Source organism: Homo sapiens, chromosome 20 (genome assembly GCF_000001405.40).
Source record: "Homo sapiens chromosome 20, GRCh38.p14 Primary Assembly".
In the NCBI taxonomy this organism is placed as follows: Eukaryota; Metazoa; Chordata; class Mammalia; order Primates; family Hominidae; genus Homo; species Homo sapiens.
The window spans coordinates 19,648,196-19,664,268 of record NC_000020.11 but is presented as its reverse complement, the minus strand read 5'-3'; the positions used below and the strand labels follow the sequence as shown (position 1 = coordinate 19,664,268).

Here is a 16,073-nt window from a genome sequence, read left to right as displayed (position 1 = left end):
CTCTTTTGTATAACCCCCCCAACTTTCTTTTTTGAAAAAAGATTGTTGCCAAAAAATCATGGAGCAGATCAAATTATTTAAGATAGAAAACATTTTCTATTAATTGAAGTTAATTCAATATTAGTCCTTGCAGCAGGCTGGAACAATCAATTTGTAGCCACTTAAGAGAACAGAAGATATTGAGAAAGAGTTTATTAGACCAGGCCAATTTAATTTTCTTCTATCAGGGAAGGCAGGCAATAACATAGAATATGAAAGCAGCTTTTAGAAAGCCCTTATTCTGAGTGATCCTCCCCATAGGTGGGGCACAGATTCTGCAAAGGAAAAGCTTGGAGATCGCTCACCCTGGAAGAAAGTACTCTTCCTGTCTGCTAGCAGTCAGCCCTGAGATTCATAGGACTTTAGCTACTGATCATTTCAATGATCATAGCAAAGAAAAAATGAGATTGGGCTTAATTTTAGGAGGGACCCCAAACAGGAGCACAATAATCAGAGAAACAGTGGGCAAATCCGGGTGAGATTGGACAAAATATGCAATTAGGTCCAGAGCTTCATGACCCTGGAGTCAAGAGGATGGTTGTGGCTTGGGGAGCTGTGGTTGGGGATATGGTTCAGGGAGGCAGACAGGGAAAGAGAAATGCAGGTGATCTCACTACAAGTACTAACTAATGGAGGAGATCCGGAAACATGCAAATAACTGATATAGTTTCCCCTTTGATCTCTGCCTTGTGTGAAGATGCCCCATCACTCAGAATGCATAAGGGTAGATGAAGAGGAGGAGGATGAGAAGGCGGAGGAGGAGGAGGAGGAGGAAGTGGAGGAGGATGAGAAGGCGGAGGAGGAGGAGGAGGAGGAGGAGGTGGAGGAGGAGGCCTCCACAAAGTCAGGGCTTCTCTACCCTGTGGCTGATGGCAAATATCATTCGGGTTTATCCTTCTCCTTTGAGAGGACTGTGTGGAGGAATGAGAGGACTCAGAAAAGAACAATGAAATGAACAAAAGGGACTAGAAATCAGGACTCTGAGAAAATCTAAATTGGCTTGGCACAGTGGCTCATGCCTGCAATCCTAGCACCTTGGGAGATCAAGGTGGGAGAATCACTTGAGCCATGAGTTTGAGGCTGCAGTGAGCTATGATCTGGCCACTGCATTCCAGCCTTGGGGAGACAGCAAGACCCTGTCTCTAAAAAAACTCTAAACAGAAGCAGGGCTTCCTCATCATGAGAAAGAAGGTGGAGATGAGCTATCAACTGCCTGTGAACATTCAGTGCTGTTATTTGGAGAACAAGCAGCTGGTCATCGCCTCTTCCGAAGACTGGAAATTAGGACTGGCGCTGTTTGCAGAACGTTCCATCGGGAGGGTACCTTGCTGGACCATCTTGATGGAGCATTTGAATCGCTCCCTCAGAAAACTCTACAAACGGCAAGGATGAGGTTCCTTTCACTTGAGTTTGCTGAAGGTTAGGAAATGAATTTGTTATTCCTTAAAGATTTCATGTTATTCAATACATTTAAGACACGTGTTGCGTATCCCTCTGTAGTTTATGCTCTACTAGCTGAGAGTAAAAGAAATCAAAGCAACATCCCCCATCCCTTAGATAAGTATTACTAGTGTAGAAGAAAACTTGAAATCATTTCTTTCTAGACTAGAACAAGTTGCACCCGCAGTTCCTGCAAATGACCACTAAGTGGTGCTCACGTTCCAGTCCTCCCTCCATGTCCAGCCTGCCAAGGTAGTGAAGTTGAAATGAAGTCAGTTCAAGTCCATTTTCGCAGTTCTATTAAATCTCCTGGAAGGAAGGGAATCACCTCAAGGCAGGCAGCCTACTGAAGGCGGCTTTAGCCGCTGCTGTCTTGAGGCAAGGTGGTGTTCCAGGGGCAGGTCCTGCCTGGTGCTCTGTCCTGGGGTCAACACTCTGTCCTCAACGATGAGTTGCACTTGACGGACCTCCTGTTGTGGGCTTTGGAACTGACTCAGCTTCTTCCCCATCAGATTTGTGAAAGCAACCCTTGGGTAAGCGTTCTTCTCTCTGTGCCCTGTTGGTTCTGTTTGGGGGCCAGGCTCTGCGATAGCCCAGAGACCACCAAGGGTGATACTGATAGCTGGATCTCAGATCTGCTGAGCACCAGCTGGTCAGGGGGCCTCTGCCCTCTGACCCACATGTGGTTCATCCAAAGATACCCTTGGCTTCGCCCTGAGGTTTCCACGTGTTCTGCTGCTGAGCTAAATGTTCAACAGGAATGAATTTGAAAAAAGCACTCATTTCCTCCAGGCTTCAGAGAAACGGCTGGGTACCATGGAAACCGGCTTTTCATTCCTGGTGTCTGCTCCAGAATTCTTCCAAGCAAGACGGGCTTACATCAGGCCGGCGAATCCCTGGATATCAGAACAACCCAGAGAGCTGCCAAGGGAATGGAGTGCTCAACATGGAGGAGCAGGGGAGGAAGAGCCAGGAGCCCCTAGTATACGCGGGAGAGAAGAGGCTGGCTGAGCTGGGAGGCAGGTGGCTGTCTCAACATCGCCATGTCAGCCCCTGGGTTTGCTTACTGTAAATTGTCACCATGAAGCAGGAGAGGCTGCATTGCTGAAGCTAAGACTTCATAGCATGTATTGTAATCACTGGCACCATGAGAATTTTAAGCAGTGAAAATAATGGGAGAAAATCAACATCATCGTTTTCTTTCAAGAGACTGAAACCTGAAACTCTTTCCTTCCTTGCTGCAAAGAAAACAGCCCCCCGTAGACTTTTCCCACTCAATATCACGGGAACTCCCTTGAGTGGGTGTAGTTCTCACTTCTTCAGCTCTTGGGTGGGGGTGCAGACGGCTTAGCTAAGGCCATGGTGATTTCATCTGAGGAGAGGGATCCAGTGGAATACACTGGGAAGCTGGCTGTTAGGCACCAGTATCACTTATATTTCAAAGTTAAGCAGAAATTCCTACTTCAGGATGTCTTATAGGCTTGATTGATGAAGGTTGTGGTTGCAGAAGGGCAGGGAAAAAATGACCTACGGGCAGGGCTTTAGCCGAGCTGATCATGTTGTATAAATATATGAAGGCAGGCTACAGGAAAGAAAAAAGGGCAAGTACTGAGGATATAGGAGATGGGGGTTGTTAAACTGAAAGGACTATGTTTGCTGGGCAGGGAAAACCAAAATCAAGCACATAGCTACAGTTTCCACGTTGTTTTCCTTGTTAGAGATGAAAGGCTCCTCTCTGGGGTCTCCAGGCCAGCGGATGCACTTCCCTGTCCAAGCAGCAAATGAGAGTGTAACCGGCCTCCTAGTTTACCCAGTGTCATTAAAGCAGGACTTTCCTTCCTCCTGTTGACAGCAGGGATTACAAAACAGGCGACCTTTGTAAGACCATAGTCGATTTGTTTAAGGATCTTAAAATTCTGTCAAAGTCATTCTCGGTGAGGATCTTCTTGCTACCATAGTTATTCCGACTTTGCCAGAAAGAGAGCTGAAATGTAATGAGGGCAAAATGAGCTGAAAGACCTGAGGGCTGAAATGTAATGAGGGCACAACGAGCTGAAGGACCTCAAGTTTTCCAGTATGAGAATGTCTTAAAGAACTGAAAGTAGATCTACCCTTCAATCCAGCAATCCCACTACTGGGTATCTACCCCGAAGAAAAGAAATCATTCTATCAAAAAGACACCTGCGTGAGTATGTTTATCACAGCACAATTCACAGTTGCAAAGATATGAAACTAACCTGAGTATTCATCAGCTAACGAGTGGATAAGGAAAATATGGTTTATATACACCATGGAATACTACTGAGCCACGAAAAGAAACGAAACAATATCTTTTGCAGCAACTTGGATGGACCTGGAGGCCATTATTCTAAGTGAAGTAACCCAGGAATGGAAAATCAAATACCGTATGTTCTCACTTATAAGTGGGAGCTAAGCTATGTGTATGCAAAGGCATACAGCGTGGTGGCATGGACTTTGGAGACTTAGAAGGTGGGGGGGTGGGAGGAGGGGCAAGGGATACAAAAACTACATATTGGGTATAATGTACACTACTCCGGTGAAGGGAATGCTAAAATTTCAGACTTCACCACTATATAATTCATCCATGTAACCAAAAACCACACGTACCTCAAAAGCCATTGAAATAAAAAAATAAGAACCCCAAGTTTCTAAATTGGAGAGAGAAGAGGTTAATTCCCATGAAAAATGGGTGCAGGAGGGGAGGGTGATGGGTCAGAGGGGCAGGGCCTTGGAGGTCAGCCAGCTGCCGGTGATGGACAGACTTCCACATGACCTCTGAGATTTCTTCTCTATCACAGAAAGGGCAAGATACAATCATTTCCAGATTATTTCAGATTAGTTATTTTAATGAAAAAATTCTAGCAGGGGGTGGCTGGAGCTGTTCCCTTCTGCCTAAAAACTAGACCACAAAGTAAGTGAAGGTAACCCTCGTCTCTAACAGGGGGAGTGGGCGGTGGGGTAGGATGATTTTAAAGACTGTAAGAGGAGGATTTTATTGGAGGGAAAGTCCAAATTCTATATTGGGGCAGTAGAGCTGCACCATGTCAGACACCTGCTCTGGCAAACTCGAGGTATTACCGGTCCCTGACCTTGGGTGAATCATTTAACCACCAGAGCCCTGGTGATGCCATCTCTAACGTGGGACTCACAAAATAGCTTGCTTGCATAGTCACGAGTATTAAACTAAAAAGTAATTATCAGTAGACCCAACACAGTCCCCTGCTGAGGATCAAGTCCATGCTTGTTAAAAATTAAAATTAATAAGATAAGAAGTGTAGTTCCTTGGTCCCACTAGTTGCCTGTCAGTAGCCACGTGTGACTAGTGGCTACCACATTGGACAGCACAAGATTGTAGGCCATTTCTATCACCATGTAAATTCTGCTAGAAGTGCTGGGCACCTGTGGCAGGTGAATCAGCTGAACTCTCTCATATCCCCCTGGGTTCCATTCACTCGGTGCCATGACAATGAATGTCCCAGGGAAGGAAGGAGACGTGTTGGTGTAAAGGAACCTCGCTGCTGTGCCAGTGTTCAGGTTGCCCTGAAGACCCCCAAACTGCTGCCAAGGGCTCACCTGACCCATCAGCAGACAGACAGCACTTGTGAATTTGGAGTTTCAAGCTGGCCCACGTTACCTGGGACCTGTCCCATAGGCCTATCTGCTTCCCCTGAGGGCTGCCCTCCTCTCCATGTTCACAGTCCCCGTCCTCCAGCAGAGACGAAAGGTAAAAATAAAGTATTTCTTTTAGAGCAGCTGCTAGACTGCCTATGTAATGAATCATTTGCATTTATGTAAATTACCTCATTATGTAAATTACAGTAACATTTCAATACAAAAAACTGTCCGTCTGCTGGAATTTGGAGAAAAGACAGGACTGGGAGGCCGGAGATACCCAGAGTTGAAGTGCTCACTGGGGGCAGAGGAGAAGCAGCGAAGAATCTGCAATAATTTGCACCTGGCTGTTGGGTGAATGGGCACAAGGAAGGGCTCTAAAGAACCTAGAACTCTTTCAGGATTTAAAAGGTGATGTCTGTCTTGCAAAAAGAGACTGAAGGCATTGGGGGAGCCTTCTCAACGCTTTCAGAGCCCCTGTCCAGCCTCTCCACCGCTGGCCAGATGTTTCAAAGTACGGAATGTCACCAGGGCTAAGAGAAAGTTGACTGGGGCTGGGGAAGGGCCCCGAGAAGCACACACTTTATGTTTTTGAAATTATAATTGCTTTAGACAATGACTGAATTCATTTCTTTTGCTTCTCCTTCAAACAAGCAAACTAGAAAATAGCACAGAGGAAAGTTTAGGTGAAATACCCGAATAGGGAAGTGGATCGCCCCACGTCTCCGTCCGAGTGAACTGTTCTGAGCTCTGTTGGTTTCGGAATGCACGTGCGCTTCCTGCTCCTGTGGTTTTGGTTGTCCACCTCGGCATGCCCCGCCCGCATCAGCTGACATTTCAGCCATTTTGAATCCAGGTCTTAAGGACTCTATTGGCGCTTTCCTGACCCTCCTCTGAACCCTCGGCCCCTCAGCAGCCATCAGCGTCTCTGGAGAAGTCGCCATGCCTCTCTGTGGGTCTCCAGGCCCCATGGTTTGTCTCCAGGGCCCCTCTGCTGAGGTCTGAAGAACCCCTTGGTGGGCGTGTACACAGAACAGCATCTGGTCCTGCTTAATCCTGACTTGCCCTCTGGGTGAAGGAGCTCTTTATTACACAACCTCAGGACACCGACAGTTACACGCCTTCTGAACATTTCATTGCTGTATAATAGGGAGAGTGGTTTGAAAAAACCCGAAGAGTTGAATGCATTGTTTGGGAAGGTTGGTAATTATTTGGTGGGTACGAGGAAGGGCTTTTAAATAAAGGAATTTCAAGTGCTCATTGCAGAGTCCTATAGAGAAACTTAGTATTACCTAAGGGAAATCAGAAGAAAAATGATTTTGTTACCATGATATTAGGGGAAACAGAAAGAGGAGAAGAAGAAAAAAGACAGTGCGTGCGACCTGTAGCCTCTGGCTGGGGGCATGGAATAGATATGGAGACATTGTGAGAGGTACTTTGTGAACTGCAGCACTTTTGAGTGTGAAACTCTGTTTTACTCCTCATGGACAGTTTCAAATTTCATGGAAAAATGACCCTGGGAGTTTGGCCACCATTTAACAAGAGTTAAGAGTCTACTCAGACTAGCAATAGTCAGAAATCCAGGCAACTAAAGTTACTTAGGCTGCTATGATTCCTTTCCTTTGGGAATCTGAAAACTGACTCCAGAAATTATCATTTCTATGCAACAGATGAATACCCCAAGGAAATGGTTTCCAGCCATATTTAAAGTTGTGTTTCTCAAGGTGCAGTTTCTCTGATGCTAGTGGCATCAGAATCACCTGTGGGTGAGGGAAGATGTTGGTTAAAATGCAATTTCCCAGGCCCTACCCAAGAGCCTGTTGAACTAAATAGGCATCCTGGGTGTTTCCAGTGTAGACTAAAGTTGGAGGAACACCAGTTAAAGTAAAAAGAACCAAGACCTAACCTTGAGGACTCAAACTTTATCTTTTCTATTTCTTCTTAACAGTGGAGAGATGTAATTTTTCTCAAATCACAAAACTCTAGCCTTGACAACTGGTCTGTAAATACACAGTCCACATCTTCAGGTAACAGCAAAGAATCATTTGCTTATGTGGTTTGTTGCTGTCTGAATGAAATATGGAGTTGCCCTGGCAGCCTGCGTGTTCAGCTAGCTCAGCTCTGGGGTTTATATGCTGCACCCTGAGGGCAGATGATTGCTTTGCCCAAAGACCAGGCTCGGGTGAGGGAGTTACTCAAAGCCCAAAGAAGCAAAACCTCTTTACTTATTCACACGTCATTAACAACAATTACATTCATTTTATCTTTGATATATCCAGATACACTGAACAGAAGACAAGTGATTTCACACATAGTCCAGTTAGTGTCTATGCGGAAAACAGGGAAAGAAGCCAACACCAGCAGAACTGCTGTTGGGAGTGTGTGGTTAAGTCTGTGCTCCCAGGAGATCCAAATCTGCTCCATTCTGTTCCACCACCTTGTCTTCATGAGCACAGTCGTCTCCTTCTGGAATTCAGCAAAGTAGAGGGCTGTGTTCATTGACACTGTTCCCTAACCATGTCTTTTGAAAAAAAATTTTTTTCAAAAATCATCCCAACATCCTGTAATGGCAGAAGAGCAGAGTGCACACAGTCAGTGTGGGTTTGTGCATAGAAGGATGAAGCTTGCTGGAAGGGGTATTAGAGAAGCCTGGGAAGAGTCCTTGGGTTCCAGGTGATCATACCCTTTTCACAGGTAATAACAGAATAAGAACATAGTTCATGTATGTCCTTAAATCTCCTAACAGAAGCATGTCTTCAGTTCCAGCATGAACCTCTCTGCTCTGTGGGGTGGGTTCTAACCCTCCCAATGATAAAGGGACCCTGGAATTAGGGGAGCATGGTAGGTCCAGTTCCCTTCCTGTTTTAATCTGGGGACACTGGAGGACAAAATTGAAAGCACATTTTAAAGGAATATTGACTTGCTGGCAAACCTTGTGATGGTTTGTAAACTCAAGATTTTCAGTGTCAGAAACTGCTGGTCACTGAAGTACCTGTCTGGTTCCGCAGGGAAAATCTCACGTCAACCCTCATGTTCATTTTATTTGTATAAAGACTTACAATAAAATAATCTACTGGTAGGAGCTTTGTCAAACAGGTGAGTAGACCCTTTAGTTGATCTATTCCTATTGTGTAGGTAAGAAAACTGAAACCTAGAGAGATTGATTTCTCCCAGGTCATGAGAGCCAGTGAGGGCTGTATTAGTTAGGGCTCTTAAGAGACACTGAACCAACAAAAGATATATATATATAAAATGAAGATTTGCTGTGAGGGATTGGCTCACAGTACAATGGAGGCTGAGATGTCTCACGACCTTCCATCTACAAAGCCTGTGGTGTGGTGCAAGTTTAAGCCCGAAGGCCTGAGAACCAGGGAAGCCAATGCTGTAGGTCCCAATTTGAATCCAAAGGCCCAAGAACCTGGAGCACTGATGTCTGAGGACAGGAGAAGATTCATAGCCCAGCTCAAACAGAAAGGGCAAATTCACCCTTCTGCCTTTTTGTTCTATTCGGGCCTTCAGTGAATTGAATCATGCTCATTCACCGTGGGGAGGGTGATCTTCTAGGATTCAAACGCTGATCTCCTCTGAAAAGCACTCTCACAGACAGCCAGAAATACTTTCACCAGCCCTCTGGGCACACCTTAGCCCAGTCGAGTTGACACATAAAATTAACCATGATGGTAAAGGGGCAAGCAGAACTAGGAGTCAGATCTCCCGACTCCTATTTCAATGTTCTTCCCAATTTTTCACCCTTTTTTTTTGGACAGCCCAGCTTGCCACACTAAAGAGTATGAGTTTTTCCCCACAAATGACACAGAGCCACTGAGCAGTTGAACAAGGGATAGAAGCATTTGCAGGTGTTCTTTATGGAGACACCACTTGGATGGCCGTGAGGACTGGCTGGGGTGGAGAGAAGCGGGGAGTAAGTGGTGGAGATGCACTGCATGGAAACACTGACCCGCAATGAACTGCAGCAGCTGCTGCGTCAGGCCGGCAATGCAGAGAGCCTCAGCTGAAGTGGGCTCTGGAGGAATGCAGTGGACAGATTGTGGTAACCTGAAATTCACGGTACAATTAAGCCAAATGGGTATGCTGGGAGTTGAGGGAAAGGTCAGTTTAATCTCATTCCCAGTCTGTGGCTACGATAGGAACGAGGACTGAAATATATAGAAAGGCAAGTCCTGGGGAAAACATCAAAAGTCTATTTAGGGACTGGGTGCTGTGGCTCATGCCTGTAAACCCAGCAGTTTGGGAGGCTGAGACGGGCAGATCACTTGAGGTCAGGAGTTTGAGACCAACCTGGCCAACATGGTGAAACCCCATCTCTACTAAAATACAAAAATTAGCCAGCCGTGGTGGTGCACGCCTGTAGTCCCAGATACTTGGCAGGCTGAGGCAGGAGAATCATTGGGACCCGGGAGGCGGAGCTTGCAGTGAGCCAAGATCACTCCACTGCACTCCTGCCTGGGCAACAGAGTGAGACTCTATCTCAAAAAAAAAAAAAAAAAAAAAAAAGGATTCTATTTAGGGACATGTTGAGTTGGGGCATGGAGATGTCTAGTAGAGAGTTCTTTATCCACCACTGGACCTCAGGGAGGTGTCACTGCTAAGTGACATGTGTGGGTGTTGGCACAAAGGTGGCCACGGTAATGGGCTCTGTGGGAGGGCAGGGAGTCCTGGCAGAGCATACAGAGTGAGAAGGGGGAGAAGTGATGTCCAAAGCTAGGGACGCCAATGAAGCGACAGAAGAGCCATGCTCACGAGGGTCTCAGGAGAACAGCCATGGACTCTCATAGACCCAGATAACCCAAGTCTAAATGCCGGCTCTGACCAGCAATTGGTCAGGCTGGAGTTCTGGGTGATCAAAGTAGCTGAAAGAAATAAATCTGCCTCCAAGCAAAGACATGCATCTCGCACTCGCCACCGGTGACCTCGAGTGAACTCCATGTGGAGGAGCCTCACACCACCCCTGGTGCTTAAAAGAGCACTGATGGGAGCTGAAATGGCCAGAGTGACTCACCACGATGAGCGCGATCACAGACAGCGTGTAGTAAATAGAATCCCTCAGCAGGCACCAGGAGGAAAGAGCCACAACCTGCAGGACAAGGGAAACAAAGTCAAACAGGATATAGACTGTACAAATGAGATGGCGGGACTCTTGCAGGTTTAGCCAGCTTCCTGTCTAGGCCTCCTGTCCTGCACCCAATCTGCCAATCAATCGGAATTTATTCAAGTATTTAGGCATATTAGTCTGGATCTTCTGAGAGGCAGACATGAAGATACAATTAAACCTGCAACAATTTTGTTAGCGGGAAACAACTGGTGATAGAAAATGGGGCATCGGGGGAGCTGGGCATGCAGCCTGTCCAACTGTGATGCGGGTCTGACCCCCGTGGAGACAGGGATGGTTGGGTGCACTGTCCTAGCTGGCACGCAGTCTGAGGAAGGTGCAGTGAGGCCCAGGGAACCCTCAATGCAAAGTTGCCTATCAGAGGAGTCTCACATCCCCCCAGGAACGGGCCTGCCTTGACATCCCTAATATCAAGGGGATAGGAGGAGCAATCCTAACCTGTGCCTTTGCCATGAGTCTAGCGTCTGCTACAGCCTGTCTTGCCCCGTGGAGTGAGCAACATGTGCTGGGCTGCTGCCGCCCTTCAGAAGGGGTGTGGACAAGCCTGTCTCTGCCAGACCTTCTTCCCTCATCTCTATTATATGCCTGGCCTTGCTGGCATTTGACCTCGGTTTAATCAGAATCTTTGAAAGATTGATTTGCATACTGATCCAGGGGAAAATGTTCTTGGCATTTGGAGATAGCCCTTTTTAAAGAGATGCTGGCTCTGCTGACACGAAGCTGATAGGCACATTGCTGGAGGCTAAAGCAGCCTTTCCCTGCAAGAGGAGGGGGCTGCTAGGTGCAAAGAAGGGCAGAGGAGCCAGGGCTGGAGGTGGTCGGGAGAGTTTGAGGAGAGGGGAAAGAGCTGTGGGTGTCAGGTTGAGGCTTCTGTTCTGGAGAAAGAATCATTTCTCCCAGGAAAGTTCTTCTAAGTCTCTTATTAAGGGATATTTAGTATTTTTATCTGTTTACAGTGTAGGTCCACTTTGGCAGACCTTACAAATAAGTCTGGGAGAGTCCACACACCTTGTTCCAAGGGTTGTCACTGGCAAGTCCCTTTCCCTTCCCTAGAGGAGTATCGACTACCCCATGGCCACAGGATGTTTGCCTGGCTACCTTTGCCCTTGGCGTAGTAAGTGAAAAAAGACACAGCACAAGTCAACACTCTCAGCCGTGGCAATGACAGGCACATGCTACACCAAACACAGTGGGAAAAAGGGACCCCAGGGACATGCAATCCCTGAGCCTCTACCCTCCCCGACTGCTGTGCAAGTCTATAAAGATCAGACCAAGTCAAACTAGAGGTTTTCTGGATGCAAATAACATGAAAGGCATGACTTAAATAGGACCATAAATGAATAACAAGGCCAGTCTCTTTCCATTAACGCATTCCCCACTTCCTATATGAACACTTAGTTATTTCCTGTTGCTAATTTTGCCTTATTAGGTGAAGCATTTGCATTTCTAAGTCACACATGACAGGGTTGTCAAGAAGAGAATTCACATCAGAAAAATCATGTTAGAATAAATATAAAGTATTCTTTACCCTTTTTTCATTCTCTCTCAGTACTGTAAACTCTTAGAATCTGTGGTCATCACTCACCATTTATGCAATAGATTAAATTGGACTAAATTGTTCATTTTCCAGCAGGTCATAAAAGGTTGTATTTATTCACTTTATTATAATCAGACAAATGGGCTTAAAACGTGGCAAATATCAATTTTGAATTTCTTTAACACATTACTTGGACTTTTAGTTAACGACGACAGATTGAGTACATACCATTACCGTTCTTGTTATACCGTAACAAGATAATACTAAAGGGTTTTTTCGATCAGGACATAAACCCACAATGCAAAAGGAATAGAAGAGCTGATAAGAACAACAAAATTTTTGAAGCTGGAAAGCAGAAGAATAATTGGGAATGTTCTAAAAGTTAGAATAAAGATAGGCCTGAAAACAGAACAATCAAAAGACTGTTTAAGAATTTAATCTCAAGCCTCCTTCCTTACTTCATACAGCCCAGTTAATGCTCATTCTTTACCTTAATAGAAAATAAGAGATCCAGCATTTGAAGAATTGAAGTTCCAGAAAACAGAGAACACAGAGGGAGGAAATGATGAAATAAATAATTCAGAAACCATTCCAGAAGTTAAGGACATGGATTTTTTTTTTTTTTTTTGAGATGGAGTCTCTCTCTGTCACCCAGGCTGGAGTGCAGTGGCGTGATCTTGGCTCACTGCAAGCTCTGCCTCACAGGTTCACACCATTCTCCTGCCTCAGCCTCCCAAGTAGTTGGGACTACAGGCGCCCACCACCACGCCTGGCAAATTTTTTTGTATTTTTTAGTAGAGACAGGGTTTCACCGTGTTAGCCAGGATGGTCTCGATCTCCTGACCTTGTGATCCACCTGCCTCGGCCTCCCAAAGTGCTGGGATTACAGGCGTGAGCCACGGCGCCTGGCCGGACATGCATTTTCATAGCAAAAGGGTCCTCTGAGTTTATTTCATTGAGTGCACAATAAACAAAACAAGACATACATCAAAGCAGATAATCATAAATCTTCAGAACACTGGAACAAAGAACAGACCCTAGAAATTACCAGACAGAGGAGAGGAAAGCAGATATATATATATATATATGTGTGTATATATATATATATATATATATAATAAAAACCAGAATGACATTTTGTAATCAACAAAGACATGGAAAGCTAGCAAAAAATGGAGTCATGCCTTCAAAATTAGAAAGGAAAACAATTGAAATTCTATGCCCAATCAAATTATTAATTAAAAATGAGAAAAGAATAAAAATAAAATTTTAGTTGTCTCAAAAAATTTGCCTCCTATGTGTCCTTTCTGAAAAAGCTACTGGAGAATGTACTCCACCAAAATAAGGGAGTAAAGCACTTGTTACATATAATTATGTTACAATAAAACATAATACCAAGCAACCAGAATCTATGATGATAATTAAAGGGGATTTCTAGAATGACAGTGAAGGGAGAATTTAGAAGGATGATAAAAGGAAATTCCAAAATGAAACTTTTACAGCAGGCTTAGAGAACAACCTAGCCAGACTGGAGTGACTCAGAAGACTACAGAAAAAATGTTGCCAGAAGGACAAAATTGATGAAACAGTTGATAATTTTGAACGTACAGAAAGAAGATTGGAGAGCTCTAAGAATAGAACATAGAAAACTAAGCAAGCAAACAATAAAAAAGACAATTATAAGCCACAAGGTAAACACAGAACTGTGCTCCAAAGAAGATGAACCATTGTGTATTAATGGCTCAACTATGAAGAGTGGTTGTATAGTAATAATAAACTAAGCAGAATATTGTCTAACCAAACTTATAATTCTTTAGGGGAAGATGGGGGCTGGGTAGTGAGAAGGGGGGGCTAAAAGAGACGTAAACCCTCCTCTTCTATACTGTGAATTCAATGGAGAATGCCGGTAACTGAAAAAATCAAGTAGCTGTCATCTAAGCAGGTTATTTAGAGATGTTGAGCAAATATCAGGAACAGGCAAACTAATGGAAAGCAGTTGCCTTAGAAGAGTGGGGAAATGGTGATGGTGGGACTGGAAGATGGCTATTTTCCATAATAAGCTTTCTAGAGTGGGTTGCGTCTTTAAGCTCTGTGCCCATATAACTTTAATAAAAATAGGAAAATATATCACAAATTATCCACTTAGTTTTACTTCTGCAAGAAATGCATCTTGCACTAGGTCTAGATGTCAAATGTGGGTGGATAGTGATATCCTTTCTCTTCTTTATAAATAGAATAGTTTTCAATGTCTGGATTGTAATCAAATTTCAGCCGCATATTCAGAGCCTACCCTTAGCAAAATCATTTTTTTTTTGCATAGAGGTGACAAACTGGAGCACAGGTAAGAAGGCATCAAACCAAAGAATTCTTTCCACACTCTAGAAGGAATTTAGAAAGGCATACACCCAAATAATTCACAATTCTATGGTACTTACAGTGAGATCTGTGATCGTGAACTCATGCCCACCTCTGATTTACCTTTCTGACACCACCATTCACCACAAAAGCAATATTTATCTGACCCTTCCTGCAAAGAAGAGGGTTTAGAAGGGTTCTGTATCCTTGCAGAGGCCCAATACCATTTGGCTTACCCTCATTTCCCAGAAACCTGATCTTGATGAAGTTGAGTACTAAGCCAGGTTGGTAATACCAGCAGTGGGAAAGAGTTTGGGATTTGAATCCAGGAAGCCTGGGCCTTGGGTCCCTGTTCCCAGACACTATACTACAATGCTTCACTACAGGCAAAGGTGAAAAACAGGCACCCACTTGCGACTGCCTCCCATGGGGATTTTCCTTTCTCCCTCACTACTGTAGCCATTAGAACAGGTATAATAGAAATTGTAGCCAAAAAAGAGAATAGTTGAAGGCTGAGAGACAAAAACAAACAAACAAAAAAAACAAAAAACAGTGACCACAGCTACATTTTAAAATTAACTGCTTTCAAGAGAATCGAGGTAAGTGATCAAAGCAAAAAAAGAGTTACTATAAAAACTATAGATAGGAATGTAGATATGGAAGGGATATATTCTAGATATGGATATATTCTAGGAGGGAGAGAATCAGTTAAATAAACACTGAAACTACCTGTCCATTTGGCCAGTTCAATTTACAAAAATAAAACACCACTACAGCTCATTGGTGGTTGAATGTTTCACTGTTTCACAAACATGAATACCCTCGTCTTCTGGGCTCCATGTGGTTCCCTTTGCCTCTCAGTGAAGGATCACTTATCTCTAGATGAAGACCGGAAACCATGTGACTCAGCCCTGAACACATTTCCTGGCAGAGGGGGCGTGTTAGCATCTCTGCATCAAATGGGAGGCTCTTTGCATCTGTTGGCAGGTGTCCCCCAAGCCACAGTAGGTTGATGAGAAGACAGGTCACCTTCTGTAGCCCTTTGCAAAATGATTGCAGGGAAGAAAGTCAAATCACTCTGGCTAAGAGACCAGATTAGAGATCCCAGTAGAAAACCAACAGTGAGTAATTCTGTCCTTGACCTCACTGGTCAATAACATAGATGGTGCAGATTACAGAAGCCCATCCACTCCTCCACAGATTCAGCCAGAGACTCTATTTTCCCCCTATAGCTTTAGGAATCCCACCCAGCTGGAATTTCATCTTGATATTTCTTTTTCTATTTATGGAATGCATTCACACATTCTCTATTGAATATGCAGCTTCAGTTTCCTTCTTATAATTTCATTTAGTTTCAGAGTGGCATAATGCAAAAAATAATTCACACTTTTAAAACAACACATTCTCTTCTGGAATTCTGGCTCCCTCTAGGAGGTAAAAGTAATTGTTTATGATAAAACCATATATTTTCTGTGTACAGATATGCATTGTGAATCTATATACAGCTATTTTTATATATGATAATATACATATAGTATATATGAAGATAGATTGCGTATCTGTAATATTATATAATATTTATGATAACTTTTCTTGATGAACAATATAACCTGACATTACCGGCACATTTAAAAAGGCACAAATATTCTCGATTTGTGAGTATTTGCTTTAAAAAAAAAAACTGTTGAAGCAAACAAAACAACATAATAGTTACACAACATAAAACATAAAACTGTTAGTGTCTGTGAGAAATGTTGTTATTTCACACAAATTTCATGGAAAAGGGATTTGAGAAATCATGAGTTTTGTTCCAAGCTTTTGAGCTGACACAATTTCTACAGCCAATTCTCATCTCAGGAAACACAGCCACCTGATCTGCAGTGAGGATGGGGCTCTGGGGTGTCTCTGAAACCATCTGAGGACACCAAGTGGTGCTGA

The 16,073-nt window shown here is 44.1% G+C and overlaps 1 protein-coding gene across 1 annotated transcript in view; it reads right to left on the bottom strand.

Moving 5' to 3' along the window:
• Window positions 1-16,073, bottom strand: part of SLC24A3 (solute carrier family 24 member 3) — a 510,285-nt gene that overhangs the window by 58,658 nt on the left and 435,554 nt on the right. The window contains exon 7 of the mRNA NM_020689.4: window positions 10,133-10,207. Coding sequence (NP_065740.2) covers window positions 10,133-10,207 — 75 coding nt within the window. The remainder of the gene's footprint in view (window positions 1-10,132; window positions 10,208-16,073) is intronic.